The sequence below is a fragment of the Homo sapiens genome, chromosome 2 (genome assembly GCF_000001405.40).
Source record: "Homo sapiens chromosome 2, GRCh38.p14 Primary Assembly".
NCBI lineage: Eukaryota > Metazoa > Chordata > Mammalia > Primates > Hominidae > Homo > Homo sapiens.
In genome coordinates, this window is record NC_000002.12 from 223,874,322 (window position 1) to 223,894,710 (window position 20,389).

Below are 20,389 nucleotides of genomic sequence, written 5' to 3' on the forward strand. Positions count from 1 at the left end.
AAGTGTGTGTTACATATGTAAGGAGACATTTATAAAAACATTGGAAAGATATACAGGATAAGTTTAATGGTGTTTTCTCCAGGTGGTGGGATGAGATGATTTTAAAAACAACTTGTTTTATACTTTTTGGTTCTATCTTTTTCTTTTCCTTTTTTATTATTATTATTTTATTGAGATGGAGTCACGCTCTTGTTGCCCAGGCTAGAGTGCAGTGGCACGATCTCAGCTCACTGCAACCTCCGCCTCCCGAGTTCAAGCGATTCTCCTGCCTCGCCTCCTGAGTAGCTGGGATTACAGGCGCCTGCTACCATGCCTGGCTAATTTTTTGTATTTTTAGTAGAGACAGGGTTTCACCATCTTGGCCAGGCTGGTCTGGAACTCCTGACCTCGTGATCCACCTCAGCCTCCGAAAGTGCTGGGATTACAAACGTGAGCCACCGCGCCCAGCTTCCTTTTCTTTTTATTATAATAAGATAATATTTTGATGATGAGAGAAAAGAAAGCCATATTTATTTTGAAAAACATACTATTCACTGCCTTTCTGGTTTCTAAATCAATCTCTGGTTTAGTTGAGGTATCAGTTCTTCTGGGTCTGAACCACACGTGTTCACTCACAAAACTGAGCTGCTGAGGAGAAGTAGAGCTTGATCTTGTTATCACTAGATAGCTCTGTGTAGTCAGAGCGCCTAAATATCCTGCACTATGCTGACTGCTACCTCAAGCGGCAGAGACAGTAATACCCACCACCCTTACAGACAGCACAAATGACATGCTAGCACATTCAGGCCAGAGGCAGGAAGAAGGCATGTGTTTTCAAGACAGAAAGGCAGACTTAATAACACACATTCTCTTGGTTTTCTCATCTGTAAAATGGGAGGAATGATGCCTTGCCCAAGTGTTGCCAGGATTGAGTAAGATAATGTAGTGAAAGCACCCAGCACACAGAGGGTGCTGAATAAATGGTTGCTACTGTTATTGCCCTACGTCCAGGCTGACTACAACAAAAGTGATATTAGGCAAACACAGTAACAAGCAAGGAATGTTTTATTGTGTACATTTTCTCAAAAAAAAAAACCCACAAAAACAGAACCCACAAATAGGAGCAAAGAACAGTTTTCTAGCATCTCTGGGATACACAGGGCACCATATCTTATAGAAACATAGCTAGTACAAGAACAAAGTGTACTAATTAACATTACCCCTTGCTTCCCCAGTCAAAAAAGGCTATAGAGAAAAACACTTTAAATTGTACTCTAATACAAATTTGTTGCACAATTAAACTTCAACTTACTCAAAGAGTTATTGTATTGTAAACTGCAGAAAATAGAATAGGCATTCAATAAATCTGCTCACAATTAACAATTAAGCAATAGACACTTGAATAAATATAGCATGTATTACTTATTTGTTAAGCCTTACACTTACGATGAGCAGATGGTTTATCACTATATAGTAACAGATTTTTTTTACACTTTAGGAGATACCATATCCAATAACGGAAGTAGAAGTACTTTAACGAAAACTGATTTTAGAAAAATATCTCCTTGGGTCTGAGCTACTATGGTATTTATTACATATTTGGGTCAGTTTCACCAGTTTAAAAATATAGGTACTAACAAACTGAATTCTTTCATGGGAGAACAAAGTAATACATTCTAGAGCAATAGTATTTCTTTATATCCTTTAGGTAGCAGGACAGAGCTAGGACATAGTAAAGAGATTTACGATGTAATGAATAATTTGTTTCTACCTAATGCTATAGGGGTATTGCTATCATTTGAACTAAGAAAGAACAATTTTAAAACTTGTTTATAATGAAGAATCGGCATTTCCTTACCACATATATACTAGATGTAAATATAAGGATCTTCTCTAATAGTCTGTATTCCTTAATCCCTATCTGTACAAATTAGCCTGCATATTCAGGAATGGAACAACCAGTAAACTGTTACTTGAAGAACTAATTTAAATGATCCATTTAAGAGAAATGCAGTCAAAATAAGGCAATAACCATCAGCCTATCTGTACTTTTCTTCTGTGCCTACTCAGTAAAATTGAGAAAATAATTTTTGCCCACTTCTATAAAAATATCACCCCATTTGCTACCTAGCATATGAGAGAGACAAGACTAGCCTGTCACGTTTGTCTCTAAAAAGAAAAATGATAGGCCTGGTGGAGAGCAAGCTATATGGAAACATCAGCCTTTCCTTTTCTAAGATACGTCACTCCAATTCTTCCTTAAATATAAACTTCCTCCTTGATTTATATTAACCCCTTAGGAGGCACTATAATAACTTTATGTTCCCATGGAACATAGGGTTTTTCAAGAATTTCTTAAAATAAAAAAGGTTTGAAAGCTATGGAGTAAACTCAGCAGCTGTGATATTCCGTTCAATCTACCACAGATGTCAAACGGTCACATTTTACAGAAGTCAAAGGAAAACAAAACCACAGTTCTGCACTCTTCCACAGGGCAAGGAATTGATCATATTCTATTTTCCTTTCAGGAATTCATAAAATCCCTAGGATAGCACCTTTGTATGGGCTGAACCATTAACTGAACTAAAATTAATACAGGAAGCTTAACATTCAACATTGTGCTTGAACAAAACTTACCACTACTCAATTTTTCTTCCAAACTATGTTAGTAATATACATTTTGCAAAGAGTCTAGAAAGTTTTTAAAAGAAATCTCTTTAGGTGATGTAACACGAAAACTCTAAGGAACAACAAAACCCTTCAGTCTTATTTCTGAAGACAAGTCTATGTTTAATGCAGATCATTCCAGTACATGATGTGCGTGACCCCCTTTCCTTTCCTTACGTGTGTCACACAGCCATTAAGACATTTTAGTTTGATCGCCTCCTTAAACCTTTCAGTCCCTCTAAGACATCATTATAAAACAAATTTAGTCCTTTAGTTTTATCATATGGAATGACCCTATTGTCCTGGTATGATCCCAACACAGTGATGCAGTACTGAGGTTTTTTTTTTTTAATCAATATCTATTAGTAAGATTAGCAAAGATACTGTTGCTATTTTTATATTTGTCCTTTAAAAAGGTAGGCCCTTCTCCACTTACTTCCATATCCCTAGAGAAATAGATATATGTACTGTTGTCAAAAAAAATCAAACACACAAATACTGGAATATTAAAAGACAGGCTCCTCATTTCTTCTCTTCCTCATCCTGGTACACAGTGCCCAAAAGCTTTAGAAATGCCATTATGAACAATAGCTTTTGCTAGTTGTTAGGAAAGCAATTTATGAGTTGGGAATTATTGTGGAAGACTTGATGGATGATTATAGCTCTGGGTCACTAACTTCTTTTTATGAAAACATGAATAATACTAGTTATAACTCAAAGTCAAAATAGTGTAAAAGCTGTGGAGTGCTTTTGTAGGGGGTATATTAAATTGCCAGAATATTGCAGAGGCTCATCTTGGAACAAGAAGTAGAATGCTGTTTCAGTTAAGAGGACTGGGCTGTTTCAGGCAACAGACTGATCATTTCGCATCACAGTGGTGGCTGGGTTTTCCATCAGTCATTACTAATGGCAATGAGAAAAAGTCAGGCGGCTTGTGTGACTCCCATGTTAACAGCACCATAAAAAAGTTTTGCCCTAGGAATTTGGGGGAAAGGGAAGAATGCGGACTGCCTTTGTTATTACAGAAATTTCACAACTTACTTAATGACAACCCCGAAAGTTCACCTGTGGCATACTGGCTGGGAAGAGAAACAACTGAAGCAAGCCAATGCTAAGTGCAGATTATGGCACTACCTGAAAATAACAGATCTCTTTAAGAAGTTTATCAATAACTAAGTGTAGAGGATATTCACATACTGCCAAGTCATAGGGAAAGGTCTCTGGTTTCGTAAGTTCCTAATGCCACCCCTCAAGAAAGAGAGAACAAGTCTTCCCTCCCCCAGCTCCTGCTCTGACAACAGCCACAAGAACCCTGGAAGGCCCCCTAGGCTAAGTGAAGTGTCTGTACTTGTGACTGCTTTGAGAAGGTTCTAAGCATTCACTTTTTTGTTTGATTTTTTGTCCCCGCTAAAACTCATTTGCTAGCTCATTCTTTCACTACACATTAGCTGTTCATGGGGAAGTTTTGCTGAAGTAATTCCAGTCTTCAGGGAACCACTATGGACAGACCTTTTCCATATTAGTCCCCATGGGTAAGTTCCACAAATGCCCCAAAACACACCTTTACATTTTCTTTTTAAAAATGTTGATTTGTTTGTAAGTGGCTACTGTCCATTCACGAGACAGCGCTGTGGAGCTGCGTGAGAGGGACTTCATTTGGTGGAGCTGCTGTTCTTAGGTGTGGACGCCGCCCAGCTCTCAGATCAGTGCGGAGAAAACCCAGTCGCCAGACTGCAGCCCACCACAGGTGTCATGTCCCAGATCTACAAGGAAGGAAGAAACGCAGAAAAGGCAGCAGTGATAACCAGGTCTAACGGCAAGAGTCAACACAGACAAACAAACGACTGTTAAACCTGAAAAGGTGTCAAATTAATGAATTTTCTCATTCTCCTCTTTCATAACACCTCCTTAAGATTTATAGAAAGAGGCCAGGTGGCTGGGCACGGTGGCTCACGCCTGTAATCCCAACACTTTGGGAGACCGAGGCGGGTGTAGCACTTGAGCCCAGGAGTTCAAGACCAGCCTGGCCAACGTGGCAAAACCTTGTCTCTACCAAAAAAAATACAGAAATTAGCCTGGTGTGGTGGCACATGCCTGTGGTCCCAGCCACTCAAGAGGCTGAGGTGGGAGGATCACCTGAGCCCAGAAGGCAGAGGTTGCACTGAACCGAGGTCACACCACTACACTACAGTCTGGGTGACAGAGCGAGACCTTGTCTCAAACAAAAAGATTTTCAGAAAGATAAAACAATGTAGTTCACTAAAATGTGAATAAAGCATATAGGTAGTGTCTTTACACATAAAAATTAAATCATAATAATGTTTTAGTATAAATTCAATTTTTTTTTTAGAAAAGCCCATCAGGAATATAGAATATCTCAGTTTCACCACTGAAGAGTGGTACTTAGGCCATGCATGGTGGATCATGCCTATAATCCCAGTACTTTGGGAGCCTGAGATGGGAGGATCGCTTGAGCCGAGGAGTTTGAGACCAGCCTGGGCAACATAGTAGGACCCAATCTCTATGAAAAATCCCCCCAAAATTAGCCAAGCCTGGTGGCAGGCACTTGTAGTTCTAGCTACTTTGGAAGGCTGAGGTGGGAAGATTGCTTGAGCCTGGAAGGTGAAGGCCGCAGTGAGTAGTGACTGTGCCACTGCACTCCAGCCTGGACAACAGAGCAAGACCCATCTCAAAAAAAAAAAAGAGTGGTACTAAGTATAAAACACTTCATTTCAATTTATGTGTTAGTGACCCAGGGATTTAATTGTTAAAATGTGTGGTTATTCCTTATACTGAGGACGCATTCTGCCCAGGATGAAAAGGAACATTGGCAAGCGTAGGAATGTCTTGAGATGGGTCAGGGGTGAGGACCCAGGCCAGCAAGGGAGAACCCAGAGGTCAACTCCACCCATAGGGATATACAGGGTGCCAGACTCACTCTGCCAGACAGACACTGCAGAGGGAGGTGCCACTGGGACTGACCACCAATGAATGCATGGAAACTCAGAGGCAAGCAATTTGTTACTCAAGGTTTTAAACTGGCAATCATTTGCTTATAAAGCTTGCCAGTCAGAAAGAGTGACTGTCTCCTGCACATTCACAGCATGGTAATAGGCAATCTCAACTGAGATGCTGACAGACAATTAGCCAGCTTACCTTTACAATGCGGTCGGTCCCACAGGTCACCATCAGTCCCCTGGCAATGTCCATGGACATGTGGGAAATGTTATGTTTTCCTTCATGAAAGGTCGCTAGAGAAGTCCGACTAACAAGAGAAAAGAGATCACTGAAAATTTACTTGACTGTACCTAGAGCTAGTGGGGTAAGCTTTTTTAGCAACATAAAATAAGCAAATATGGCCAGGTGCAGTGGCTCATGTCTGTACCCCCAGCACTTTGGGAGGCCGAGACGGGTGGATCACTTGAGGTCAGGGGTTCAAGACCAGCCTGGTCAACATGGTGAAACCCCGTCTCTACTAAAAATATAAAAATTAGCTCTGTGTGGTGGCACACGCCTGTAATCCCAGCTACTCGGGAGGCTGAGGCAGGAGAATCGCTTGAACCTGGGAGGTGGGGGCTGCAGTGAGCCGAGATTGTACCACTGCACTCCAGCCCAGGTGATCAACCAAGACTCAGTCTCAAAAAAAAAAAAAAAAAAAAAGTAAATGCTTATGATAATAGTGTTAAAATTTGCTCCTAAAATTGTGGCTATGGTTTTGAAAACTAACCTTATAATTTAATGATGACAGAAAGCATGTTAAATCACAAGATTGTTTTATAAAATTCCCAAAATAACTGATTTTTTTTTTTTACTGGAAAGGCTGATACATTCCTAGATATAAAAACAAGAATCTTCAATATAAAAGAAGAACTGCATTGAATAAAATCATACAGCATGGGCAAAACATCAGAGAGCTGCCGTTTTCCCTGAAACCTCTGCCATGCACAGGAGCAGTGCCTCTTACAGCACCCGCTTCAAAGCCCAGCTGCCCCAATCCCATCACTAGTTCATTTACCAACACCAGTCGTGATGCACTAGCTTTCCAATGTGGACCTCTGCCAACATTTGCCTCTGCTGCTTTAAAAGATGATTCAAAGGGAAGGAAAGAAAATAGTGGTTCTGTCCTAACGGATTTGCCTAAAAGTCAGGGCAGAGTGGGGTATCAAACAGATGTGTCTTACACACAAAGAGCAATTTAAGAATAGACTGCTAGGCCAGATTTCTGTGGAAGAAAGAACATTGGTCTCTAGAGTTTTCCCAGTAAATTTACATGCATGTGTGAACAAAGGTCTGGGCACTGGATACTTTTATAGAGAACCAGCTCAACCACTGCCATCCACAGGTGCATGGACTTATCCCTGCATAGCAGCCAGTGGGATGCAGAGGCTCAGGGTATCCACTCAGTTACTGGACCATGTAACTTAGCATTCCTCACTGTGTTCAGGAGAAAGCTGCCCAGTCAGAGGGGCAACTTAAGATGCATAGTCATGGTCTTAAGTCATAAAGCTAGGGCAGGTCCTCTCTTCAAAAATGGCTTAGGGGCCAGGCACGGTGGCTCGCGCCTGTAATCCTGGCACTTTGAGAGGCCAAGGTGGGTAGATCACTTGAGGTCAGGAGTTCGAGACCAGCCTGGCCAACATGGTGAAACTCCATCTCTACTAAAACTACAAAAATTAGCCAGGTGGTGGGGGGCGCCTGTAATCCCAGCTACTCGGGTGGCTGAGGCAGGAGAATCGCTTGAACCCGGGAGGCAGAGGTTGCAGTGGGCCGAGATCACGCCACTGCACTCCAGCATGGGTGACAGAGCAAGACTCTGTCTCAAAAAACAAACAACAAATAAAATGGCTTAGGAAATTCAGGAGAAACAAACACATGGCTAAACATATCCTATCACTTCTGAAGCTCTTCACATTTCAGAGAACCATTAGACAGATGTAATAAGAGGCAATGAGACAAAAATATGCAAACACTCACTCTTCATCTTTGATGGAGTCGTAACAAGAATCACAAACCCGGACTTGGAACTCGAAGCCCATGACTGGGTAACTTGAGCGCTTGCTGCTGCACTTCCCGCAGACAGCCTGCCCGCATTTCCTGCAGTGATGCTTCACAGGTGACCGGGAGGAGGAAAACAGGGTGTTAGCTTTCGCTTTTTGTTTTGTTTTGAGACAGAGTCTCACTCTGTCACCCAGGCTGGAGTGCAGTGGCGTGATCTCGGCTCACTGCAACCTCTGGCGCCCGGGTTCTACCAATTCTCCTGCCTCAGCCTCCCAAGTAGCTGGGATTACAGGTGCCTGTCACCACGCCTGACTAATTTTTGTATTTTTAGTAGAGATGGGATTTCACCATCTTGGTCAGGCTGGTCTCGAACTCCTGACCTCATGATCCACCTGCCTCAGCCTCCCAAAGTGCTGGGATTACAGGCGTGAGCCACTGCGCCTGGCCTAGCTTTTGCTTTAAAGCACATGGTTTCCCTCTAAAGTAGGGCAACAGGAGCGGGGAGGATATGCCTTGAATTGCAATCACCCCAATTCAATGTATCAATTAACACTCACAAGATAGACAATTCTGACACTAGTCAAGGATTTCCAAAAAACTTTGCTGTACTGGTCAAATGTTGCTTTTCATTCATTCATATTATCTGTCTACATGTTAACAAACAATATTATTAACAACAAATTTAGTTCATTTAGGAGCCTAATCACTGTAGATTTAGGGAAAGAAAAATTTATTCCTCCATCATAAAAAAGGCATTATTATTATTTTTTTTTTCAGAGACAGGGTCTCATTCTGTCACCTAGACTGGAATGCAAAGGTGCAATGGCATACAGCTCACTGCGGCCTTGACCTCCCAGACTCAAGCGATCCTCCCACCTCAGCCTTCCAAGTAGCTGGCACTACACGTGTCTGCCACCATGTCTGGCTAATTTTTTGATTTTTTTGCAGAGACAGGGTCTTGCTATGTTGTCCAGGCTGGTCTTGAACACCTAGGCTCAAGTGATCCTCCTGCCTCGGCCTCCCAAAGTGCTAGGATTACAGGTGTGAGCCACCATGCCCAGCCTAAAGGGTTTTAAAATAAGTTTTATTTATTTATTTTTATAGAGACGGGGTCTCATCATGTTGCTCAGGCTGGTTTCAAACTCCTGGGCTTAAGCCACCCTTCCACATTGGCCTCCCAAAATGCTGGGATTACAGGCATAAGCCATCATACCCGGTCTAAAATAAGTTTTAAATGCACTATGCTCTCATTAAGAAACTAATGCCCATAATCATGTATTTTGCTATTTTCTAAAATCTCTCAAACTGTGATTCTGGAAATAAGCCTCAAGAACATTACAAAATAGTCCAATTATTATTACTGATTTTGACATATTCTTTTACCGCCAAAAGTTTAGTGACCAGCACCTCTTCTCTCTTCTGTTAACTGTTAATAAATGGAAGTAAAATCCATTTCTCTGTGTTTCCTTTAGAAGTAGGGAATACTTCACCTATTAATTATACTGCACTAATTACCATCAGCCATGCATTGTGAGAACTTGGCTAATGACAGACAGAACTCAGGTGCTATTTCAGAGCTTTATAATGGTCTGAGCACTAATAATTCCCTTCTTGCCTGCCAGTCTCATATGAGACCTTACTGTGGAGTATCTCTGAGTAAAATTTTTTAGATTTTATTTATTAATTAATTTATTTTTTGAGATGGAGTCTCGCTCTGTCACTTAGGCTGGAGTGCAGTGGCGTGATCTTGGCTCACCGCAACCTCCGCTTCCTGGGTTCAAGTGATTCTCCTGCCTCAGCCTCCCGAGTAGCTGGGATTACAGGCGTCCGCCACCACACCCAGCTAATTTTTGTATTTTTAGGAGAGACAGGGTTTCGCCATGTTAGCCAGGCTGGTCTCAAACTCCTGACCTCGGGTGATCCACCTGCCTCGGCCTCCCAAAGTGCAGGGATTACAGGCCTGAGCCACCATGCAGGGCCAAAAAAGTTTATTAACACATACAAACTTTAGGCTAATCGCTCATAGAGATGCAACCAATAATAAAAGGAATAAAATCAGCATTCTTTTTTACTTACCTGCTTTTTTTTTTTTTTGTAGAACTTTAGTATTACAAGAATCCTTTAACAGCACCTTTAAAATCTACAGGCTATTTGGAACATATTTCTTTAATTAAAAAATTTAAAAAACAGTACTCAAAACATGCTTAATAAAAATATTCCAGGTATGCTTATAAGGGAACAATTTAAAATAATCTAAAACTCATAGGGTCAGGCATTCAAGTGAGGACTAAATTATTACTTTTTATCTGTTTGTGACAGCATAAGGTATATAACTGTATGACTTTATTCTAATTTTGTTCTTGGCTAGCATAAAACACTGACTTTAATAAGTAATAGTCTTAAACTGAAAGATCTTTTATCTGTTTAAAAATAGGCTCTCAGGATTTTCTACGCACCCCTGCCTTTCCAATACAGGACAAGCAATGGAAAAGTGAGGTAACAGTCTCACTGGCCCTGGGAAAGGTCTTCCTCATTGTTAGTCACACAATGATAAAGACATAGAAAATGTAGGAATTAATAGCATTTGCAAAAACAAAGTGTGTTTCAAAAAAACCCCAGATTAAGTATGCAAATAGTGAAATACACAATCAAGCCAGAGATGACTCGACAGTGGCTACTCACTTGTCTTAGCCCCAGCGTCTTGGTGTCCCACATCTGCTTTATGTTCCAGAAAAATGGCTGCTCACATTTCTGACAAGAATCACTTTCCAACCACTGAGGAGCCTGGGGGAGCAGAAAGTCAAAGCCACCATCAGTGTGTCTATATTTACTCCCATGTTTCAAAATTAATACAACAGTTCTAGACCTTGCCAAGGTTAGTATTTCTTTTCTTCTTTTTTTTTTTTTTTTGGTCTCCCAGGCTGGAGTGCAGTATGTGTGATCTTGGCTCACTGCAACCTCTGCCTCCTGGATTCAAGTGACTCTCCTGCCTCAGGCTCCCAAGTGGCTGGGACTACAGGCATGCACTACCACTCCAGGCTAATTTCTGTATTTTTAGTAGACATGGGGTTTTGCCATGTTGGCCAGGCTGGTCTCAAACTCCTGACCTCCCAAAGTGCTGGGATTATAAGCATGAGCAACCATGCCCGGCCAGTTAGCATTTCTTTTTAATTCCACGAAATATTCTAGCTAGTTGTCATATTCAATATTATGTTTAATTGTGTGTGGGGGGGGGTCTTTTTTGAGACAGGGTCTCACTCTGTCACTCAGGCTCGAGTGCAGTGTCGTGAACATGGCTCACTGCAAGCTTGATCTCTCAGGCTCAAATGATCCTCCTGCCTCAGCCTCCCGAATAGCTGGGACCACAGGTGAGTGTCACCATGCCCAGCTAATTTTTTATTTTTATTTTTTTGTAGAGACAGGATCTCACTATATTTCCCAGGCTTGTTTTGAACTCCTGGCTTCAAATAATCCTTCTGCCTCAGCCCCACAAAGCACTGGGATTACAGTCACGAGCCACTGCGCCCAGCCTTAACTGTGTGCCGAGTAATCATGGCAATTTTAGCCATGGTTACAGGGTGTTCAATTTGTAATCTATAGATAGGAGGGAGTAAATCAGTTTTTATTGTGAACCCTTAAGGGTTGTCTTTATGTATTTCTTTTTTATGCCAAAGATGTTTGAACTCTAAATCCAGTTGAGTAGAAACCCAGTGCATGCAGCAGAATCTGGTGACCTACCACTTGGAAAGGCTTGCGGGGTCACAGGTGACTAACAGAAGAGATCTGACAAAACCCCATCACCTAGTTGCTCTGGGTAGGGACTATGCCGGCAGATTTGCCCCCCTTCCCTTCCCAGCCACAGCAGCACGTCCCTCCCTCCTGGGGCCACACAGGCATCCTGCAGCTTCACTGAGCAGCAAGCTCTGGTACTGGAACTCTTGGTGCACGTTTCTTCTCCCCTCTAACCAATGAGTTACTTTTTGGTATTATTCATCTTGATCTAGCCACAGCCTGTCACACAGTAGGTTTTTAATGCATTTTTGTTGAAACAGAGGAAGCAGTCTCAAAATTAATTTGTTAAAAAACTTAGAAAATAGGCCAGGTGTGGTGGCTCACGCCTGTCATCTCAGCACTTTGGGAGGCCGAGGCAGATGGATCACCTGAGGTCAGGAGTTCAAGCCTGGCCAACACGGTGAAACCCCGTCTTTATTAAAAATACAAAAATTAGCCGGGTGTGGTGGCACACACCTGTAATCCCAGCTACTTGGGAGGCTGAGGCAGAAGAATCACTTGAACCCAGGAGGCGGAGGTTGCAGTGAGCCAAGATCATGCCATTGCACCCTAGTCTGGGCGACAAGAGCAAGACTCTGTCTCAAAAAACAAAACAAAACAAAATAAAAACTTAGAAAATATTTCTCTAAACAAAAAATTACAAACTATACTCAATTCTAAGACAAACCTGCTAAAAGCCTGTTTAGGCCGGGCGCAGTGGCTCACACCTGTAATCCCAGCACTTTGGGAGGCCAAGGCAGGCGGATTACCTGAGGTCAGGAGTTCAAGACCAGCTTGGCCAATGTAGTGAAACCCCATCTCTACTAAAAACACAAAATTAGCCAGGCGTGGTGGCACATGCCTATGCCTATAATCCCAGCTACTCAGGAGGCTGAGGAGAGAAAATCGCTTGAAACTGGGAGGTGGAGGTTGCAGTGAGCAGAGATTGCACCACGGCACTCCAGCCTAGGCGACAAGAGTGAAACTCCGTCTAAAAAAAAAAAAAAAAAAAAGCCTGTTTAACCCCAATCACTTAACATTATATATGTGCAACAAAAATAGTAGAAAATATTTTTTCTAAAATATATATTAATATATTTGGTGGTTTGAACGATGGGTGCCCCTAGTTCTTCATTTTCTCTCCTATTGCATCAAAACTTTTGGCCTTCCTATTTCTTATTTTAGATCGGTCACTAGAAATATTTCTACATATAACAGACATTAGAAAGGCCTTTTTTTGAGGTGGGGGTGCAGAAGGCACTCACAAGTAGACTGAAATAGGCTGAGATAGAAGAAAGGTTTCCTTAAATAACTGGGGAATGTTGGAGATGAGAAGGGATGAAAGAAGAATAAAGAGATGTGTATCTATGTGAGAAAGATTATTTTCTTGATATGGAATTACTTCTTTGTTTCTGTGATCAATGCAAGGCAGGTGGTGATGGAGGCTGGTGATGTGTGGGGATACTACCTGGGGACACTGTCCCTAAGAGAGACACAGCAGGCTGTGCTGCCAATGGCACAGGGTATTTAATTGCCGGAAGAAGGAAAGTTCTTATGTCTGGGACATGCCCAAGCGTAACTCTTGCAAAACCACAGTCACATGGACCAAAAAGCAGCACAAAAATGTATTCACTAAGCCATCTCCAAACAACTTCAGTAAGGGCTAATATGCTTTAAGGACGACACAATGAAGGCTTTAATGGAAACAGACTAATAGATGAAAGTTTGTTCCCGTTTATACTTTCCATACTTAGCAGCAGGGAATTCGATGTTTAATTTAGTGCACAAAAACATTAAGTGTAAAAAAGACCTGACTTGCAAACTTGCCCATTATTGCTCAGTGCTTTAGAAATTCACTTCTTTCTTTTGTCTACAGTTAATGGCTGGATTTTCTATTTTCCTTGAACACACAGTGTCTATTAAGTATTACTTAAAATAAAAATCTTAAACTTTACTGGTCTGGAATTCAGAAATCTCGCTCTCAACCAAAACAGAGGGAGGATTAAATTTTCTATTTTTCTTGAGTTAAAATTTGGTTAAAAAAAATAAAGAAAAATCACTGAATGAAATGTCTGCATTTTCCCCCCTTAGCCTCTCATTTATGACATTATTGGCCTGGTTTGATCCACAAATTTTTAAAATTTGTTTCCTAGGACATAACAGATTAAAGGGACTAAGGTGGGTAGAATTGAAGGCAAGAACATAGTTTCAGGAAAAACGTTCTCAGTCCTACATGAAATAGTTTTCTACACAAATACAAAATTGTATTACCATGAAACACACATGCAACATTTGTGGTCAGAATGGTGAAACTGCATCATCAAGAAATTAGTAAATTACATTAAATTTACACTTTTTTTTTTGAGACAGGGTCTCGCTTTGTCACACAGACTGGACTGCAGGGGCACAATCATGGCTCACTGCAGCCTCAACCTCTGTCTCATGCGATCCTCCCTCCTCTCAGCTGCCCTAGTAGTTGGGACTAGAGATATGTACCACCACACCCAGCAAATTTTTTGTACAAAGAGGGTTTCTCCAAGCTGCTCAGGCTGAACTCCTGGGCTCAAGTGATCTGCCTGCCTCAGCTTCCCAAAGTGCTGGGATTACAGGCGTGAGCCACTGTGCCCAGCTGTACATTTTCATCAAAGTGATTGTCTTCATAAGGGGCTGGCATTTGAATTATGTTTCAATTACCCAGAGCATTCCTTTAACACAAAAGGCCTCTATCTCCAGCAATGTCTGTTAAGCAGTACATCAATGGATTTCCTAATATTTTAATGTTTTCAAGTGATTCAATTTCAAGCAAGGATTTTAAAAATAAATACAGATAAGCCATTTTTAAATTCTCAATTTTTTTTTTTTTTTTTTGAGACAGAGCCTTGCTTTGTTGCCCAGGCTGGAGTGCGTTGGCATGATCTCGGCTCACTGCAACCTCTGCCTCCCGGGTTCAAGCAATTCTCCTGCCTCAGTCTCCTGAGTAGCTGGGATTACAGGTGCCCACCACCACACCCAGCTATTTTTTTGTATTTTTAGTAGAGATGGGGTTTCACCATGTTGGTTAGGCTGGTCTCAAACTCCTGACCTCAAGTGATCTGCCCGCCTCAGCCTCCCAAAGTGCTGGGATTACAGGCGTGAGTCACCGTGCCTGGCCTAAATTCTCAACTCTTTTTTTTTTTTTTTTTTTTGAGATGGAGCCTCGCTCTGTCACCCAGGCTGGAATGCAATGGCGTGATCTTGGCTCACTGCAACCTCCGCCTCCTGGGTTCAAGTGATTCTCCTGCCTCAGCCTCCCAAGTAGCTGAGATTACAGGTGTCTGCCACCATGCCTGGCTATTTTTTGTATTTTTAGTAGGGTTGGGATTTCACCATGTTGGCCAGGCTGGTCTCGAACTCCTGACCTCAGGGGATTCACCTGTCTCAGCCTCCTAAAATGCTGGGATTACAGGCATGAATCACGGTGTCTGGCCTCTCAATTCATTTCTAATAGTCATAGCAAGTGGTTCATAGCAAGTGGTTCGTAGCAAGTCGTCACAAAGTCTAGGAGTCAGATCTCTTGCCTTCCAATCCTGGCTCTGCCACTTGTCAGCAGTGTCCTCAGGCACGTGACTCAACTTCTCTGTGCCTAGGTTTCCTTATCCACTGTTATGGTCTGGCTCTGTGTCCCTACCCACATCTCACTTAGAATTGTAATAATCCCCATGTGTCATGGGAGGGACCCAGTAGGATGTAATTGAATCATGGGGGTGGGTTTTTCCCATGCTATTCTCCTGGTAGTGAGTAAGTCTCACAATATCTGATGGTTTTACAAAGGGGAGTTCCCCTGCACATGCCCTCTTGCCTTCCATGTAAGACATGACTTTGCTCCTCCTTCACCTTCCACCATGATTGTGACGCCTCCCCAGCCATGTGGAATTGTAAGTCCATTAAACCTCTTTCCTTTATAAATTACCCAGTCTCAGGCATATCTTTATTAGCAGCCTGAGAATGGACTAATACATCTGTAAAATGGGATAACAGTAGTATATACCTCATAAGGTTGTGAGGATTAAGTGAGTTAATATTTGGGAAGTGTTCAGAATACTACGTGGCATACAATAAGTGACATCTAAGTCCAGGCAATGTGCCAAGTGTTTCATGTTTTTTTATTCTACTTAATTTTCATTATGTCCTAGGAGATACCGAGCAACACTATCCCTATTTTACAGGCAAAGAAACTGGCTCAGAGATTAAAGCAACTGTCAATGAGTACACGCAGATCCTGGGCAGATCCAGGAGTCCAGCCTGCCTCTCTCTGTGTATCCCTATGCTCCACACAGCCTCTGTATATGAGGCCTATCCACTTCTACCTATGGGGGTCTCCAAACATGGTCCTGGGCTAGGGCAACCTACAGATCTGAGCTCTTGCCTCAGGGAGCATGATTCTGTTTACAGGTTTAAGAAAGAATATTACTTTGGCTGGGCGCAGTTGCTCACATCTGTAATCCCAGCACTTTGGGAGGCTGAGGCAGGTGGATCACTTGAGGCCAGGAGTTCGAGACCAGCCTGGCCAACATGGTGAAACCCTGTCTCTACTAGAAATACAGATATTAGCCAGGCATGGTGGCACATGTCTGCAGTCCCAGCTACTCAGGTGACCGAGGCACGAGAATCGCTTGAGCCCAGGAGGCAGAGGTTGCAGTGACAAAAATATATGCTTAAAAAAATTTGAGATAACAAATTAAAATCAAAATCAGAAACAAATAGCTTTTTAGAACATATTTTAATATAAGAGATACCCCTAACTTTATTTCACTTAATACTCAGAATATAGCATTACACTGTAAGCTAACATGAGCCATCCTTATACTTATTATCTAAGAAGAAGCTTTCGTTTTGTGCTGAGAAGAGCAAGAGAGAGTATTAATCAGTTATTATAATTGCTTCACTCTCTTTTCTCCATCTTTTTGCACCTGCCAAATCTGAACAAAGATATGGCAAGAATAAATTCCATTGCTCTACTGCCACTAACTGCTGCACTCGTCACACTGCACTAGTATATAAAATGCTATACATTCTGTAACCTACTAGTTTTAAAATAAAGTTCTCTTTTCAAGAAGATTCATTCTAATTATTGTTACTTCCTCATTTATATTTTGTGCCTACTTCCAAAAAAGGATCCCTTCTCATTATGATCTGGCAGGGAAGCAAATCTGCTTCCAACTCGACAGCGTAGTGGTTGAAGCCACAGTGGGTAGTAAATGCTCCAGTTAGTATTGACAGGGGACTTGGAGAGAAATTCCAGGCAAGCATTGCAGAGCTAGAGGATCTGGGATCAATCCTCTATGCCCTGGTCTAAGAAAGTCCTATAAAACCCTAAAGGCCAGGCACGGTGGCTCATGCCTGTAATCCCAGCACTTTGGGAAGCTGAGGCGGGCGGATCACTTGAGGTCAGGGGCTCGTGACCAGCCTGGTCAACATGGTGAAACCCTGTCTCTACTAAAAATATAAAATATTAGCCAGGTACAGGTATGGTGGCATAAGCCTGTCACCCCAGATACCTGGGAGGCTGAGGTGGGAGAATCACTTGAAACTAGGATGCGAAGGTTGCAGTGAGCCGAGATCGCACCACTGCACTCCAGCCTGAGTGACAGAGCTAGACTCCGTCTCAAAAAAAAAAAAAGCCCAAAAATCCTAAGGCAGGGTCAGAACCTTATAGATTATAGCCTGTTTATCCTTGCAATACATTTTCTCAGTTATTAAAAAACAAACAAACAAAAAAACCCACTAAAAATAATGCATCTTTTTGACACAATTTGCCTTCCTGTCTCTTCTACAGACGCAGTGAATTGTGCACACAGGAAATGCCTTGATTGATGGGACTATTTTTTCTTTCCCTAGATAGAGAAATACACTCCACAGTGATGCACTTTGACGGTAGGAATCCCACTTCTACTTTCTAAGTACTTTTTCTAAAAGAATTTACCAACGATAAAAAGAGCAGGTTAAAATCTAAGTTGTGAAACCCTCGGGAAAGCCACCAGCAGTGCTGGGCACCAACAGTCTCCTCCCCTCATCATCCAGGGAATACAGCCTTTCTCTGAGTTTTCCGCTCTCTCAGAATAAGACTGAAAAATAATAGGCCAAGAGCCAAGAACAGTTTACTAGCTTTTCTTGCTGCATATAACTAGTAGCTGATAAACGTAAAACACAGTTCGAATAAATCTTTGCAAATATAGTATTATGCATCCTATAATTTATATATATATATACATATTTTTTAGATGGAGTTTTGCTCGTCGCCCAGGTTGGAGCGCAGTGGTGCAAGCTTGGCTCACTGCAACCTCTGCCTCCTGGGTTCAAGTGATTCTCCTGCCTCAGCCTCCCAAGTAGCTGGGATTATAGGCACCTGCCACCATGCCTGGCTAATTTTTATATTTTTTAGTAGAGACTGGGTTTCACCATGTTGGCCAGGCTGGACTCCAACTCCTGACCTCAGGTGATCCACCCACCTCAGCCTCCCAAAGCGCTGGGATTACAGGCATGAGCCACTGCGCTGGCCACATCCTATACTATTGAGCCAATGTATCTGTGTTTAATAATAAAATATTCTAAGCCTTACCAAATAATTTTTAGAAAATTCAAAAAGAGAAATTAACCAGCAGACATGTAATCCAAATTTCCTCTATCTGACTTGTCTTACAAAGTTACCAAAAAATCTCACAATCAGTACGTCTCTGTATTATGGATTGCATTTTATTATTTATAGGGTAGTCTATTTCTTCCACTAGATTACACATTTCTTGTGGGCAAGTATCTTTGTGTACAGTAGCCATAAAGTCTGGAAATGAGTAATGTCACCATTTAAAAAAAAAATAGATGAAAGCCCCTTGATCACTTCTACTGGAATATGCTAAAAATGAAGGTTTAATCAGTGAGAATCAGACTCACAAAGAATCAGAGACAACACAAAGCAGACACATGTGCAGGGACTGGTGGGAATTCTGCATCAACGCATAATGTCTATTACAATGGTGCACAGCACACTGAACAACATATTGCCATAAAGGACAGGATACTGAACAGATCATGTGATGTCATGCAACACAGTAGGTACTGCAATGCAATATCAATAAGCCATTTATTAAATACATTCACTTGAGTTTCCCGACTGTAAGGACACCCTGTAGGTGCCCAACAAATATTTCTGAAGTTAAACTATAAGTCATTAACATCCCTCATGATCTAAAATCTTCTCTGGAATCAACTTTTTTGCTAACAACATCGTAAGTTGTAGATGTCACTTAGAAAAGAAAGATAATGACAGTACAGGCAGAGATGAGAATGGAAACCTTGATTGGAAATCATTTGACGACATCTATAAAAAGCCTTAAGAATGTATATATCCTTGGACCCAGAAGGTCTATTTCCAGAAATTTGTCTGAAATAAATAATTGATCAATCACACAATGACAAGGTCAAGAATATTCACTGCAGCATTCTTCAAAATATTTAAAAAAGAGAATGTACACAGTGCCTCATGCCTATAATCCCAGCAATTTGGGAGACTGAGGCAGGAGGATTGCTTGAGCCCAGGAGTTTGAGACCAGCCTAGACGATACAGCAAGACCCTGTCTCTACCAAAAAAAAAAAAAAAAAATTGAAAAATAAGCTGTGCATGGTAGTGTATGCCTGTAGCCCCAGCTACTCAGGAAGCTGAAGTGGGAGGATCGCTTAAGCCTGGGAGGTTGAGGCTGCAGAGAGCCAAGATCATGCCACTGCACTCCAGCCTGGGTGACAAAGCAAGACCCTGTCTCAAAAAAAAAAAAGAGAGAGAGAGATTGTTTAGACAATTAGACTGTCTGTCTAAAGAACTGGAAGACAACTGAGAAGTCATTTCATTCCACAATTCCACTTTATGTAGGAGGGAACAGATACTTAGAGAAATTAAGGCACTTAACCAAATAAGGTCTCACAACTAGTTAGTGGCCGAACCAAGTTAGAAATTAGGTCACCTGAAAAGAATACTATGTCGACATGGCCTCAGTGAACTAGAACTCAATGGGAAGTAAAAGCAGAGAAATGGAAATATATTTTCCCAGAAACCTGTCAAGTGTTTAGCTATGTCCCTGACAGCAGTCACTGATGCATCTCTCAGGGTTTCCTACAGGAATGCTACGGGACCACAATGGTGCTTCGGAGGACCTCTATGCAGTCCAAATCACTGGATATGCCAGAAATCTGTCTCAAAGTGTTATCTCAGTGTATTGCTCAAGGCTGAGAACCAGCCTAAACGCTGATTGTATATACTGCATGTCATTGGTAGAAACTCTCAAATGAGCAGAGGAAGCAATGCAAAATGACACAAAGGACCTTGTCAGAAATAACCCATTAGCAGAAGGGGAAGCTGGGACTGTCTGCACCTGGACCAGCATTTACAGCTTGCGGGGTGAAAAGCCAAGAAGAAGCCAGGTTCCTGGGGGTCTCCCCCGATCAGCCTGGACTTGCCCTTGTCTCTTACCTCTTCTCTGCTAACATCCATGTTCCACACTGCAATTCCGCCGTCCGAGGAACAGGAGACGAGCTGCCTGGTGAGCTGAAGGTAGCACAGCGACTGCACCTTGTCACTGCAAACAGCACACACAACAGTCACTTGTCTCCATGCGGAAAAACACAGGAACTGTCTTCATTTAGGCTCAAATTGCTCTCCTCATTAAAATCAGCAAGTGGTATTTTACCACTGACTATTTAGCATGGTAAAATGAATTCTAGTATAAACTTTACTTGGCATTTTATAACTCATAATACAGAATGATACTTTCTATAAAATATATGACTACTTTCAAATCGGTCATTAAGAATTGTAGGCCAGAGATTTGATGAGGGCTATGGTTTTTGGGACCAATCAACATGATTTCCCTTTCAGATGCATAAGATTTACCTACTTGTTCAGAAACAAGAACGAAGGAGGTATAACTCCCCTACTGACCACAATTCA

General features: G+C 41.9%; 1 protein-coding gene across 1 annotated transcript in view, besides 3 other annotated features; it reads right to left on the bottom strand.

Moving 5' to 3' along the window:
* Positions 1 to 1,026: 1,026 nt before the first annotated feature.
* WDFY1 (WD repeat and FYVE domain containing 1) overlaps positions 1,027 to 20,389 on the bottom strand; it is a 69,988-nt gene continuing 50,625 nt past the window's right edge. Inside the window, exons 8-12 of the mRNA NM_020830.5 lie at positions 19,913 to 20,018; positions 10,327 to 10,428; positions 7,621 to 7,751; positions 5,803 to 5,911; positions 1,027 to 4,409 (exon numbers count right to left, since the gene is read on the bottom strand). Of these exons, the coding sequence (NP_065881.1) occupies positions 4,350 to 4,409; positions 5,803 to 5,911; positions 7,621 to 7,751; positions 10,327 to 10,428; positions 19,913 to 20,018 (508 nt within the window). The 3' untranslated portion in view covers positions 1,027 to 4,349. The remainder of the gene's footprint in view (positions 4,410 to 5,802; positions 5,912 to 7,620; positions 7,752 to 10,326; positions 10,429 to 19,912; positions 20,019 to 20,389) is intronic.
* Positions 7,307 to 7,808: an enhancer, noted in NCBI's record as "H3K4me1 hESC enhancer chr2:224746345-224746846 (GRCh37/hg19 assembly coordinates)". NCBI's record gives its function as "activates a minimal SCP1, AML or CMV promoter by ChIP-STARR-seq in naive H9 embryonic stem cells {active_cell/tissue: H9 hESC(naive)}" and the evidence as "EXISTENCE:reporter gene assay evidence [ECO:0000049][PMID:30033119]".
* Positions 7,809 to 8,308: an enhancer, noted in NCBI's record as "H3K4me1 hESC enhancer chr2:224746847-224747346 (GRCh37/hg19 assembly coordinates)". NCBI's record gives its function as "activates a minimal SCP1, AML or CMV promoter by ChIP-STARR-seq in naive H9 embryonic stem cells {active_cell/tissue: H9 hESC(naive)}" and the evidence as "EXISTENCE:reporter gene assay evidence [ECO:0000049][PMID:30033119]".
* Positions 10,300 to 10,389: an enhancer, noted in NCBI's record as "active region_17176". NCBI's record gives its function as "activates an Ori minimal core promoter by ATAC-STARR-seq in GM12878 lymphoblastoid cells {active_cell/tissue: GM12878}" and the evidence as "EXISTENCE:reporter gene assay evidence [ECO:0000049][PMID:35858748]".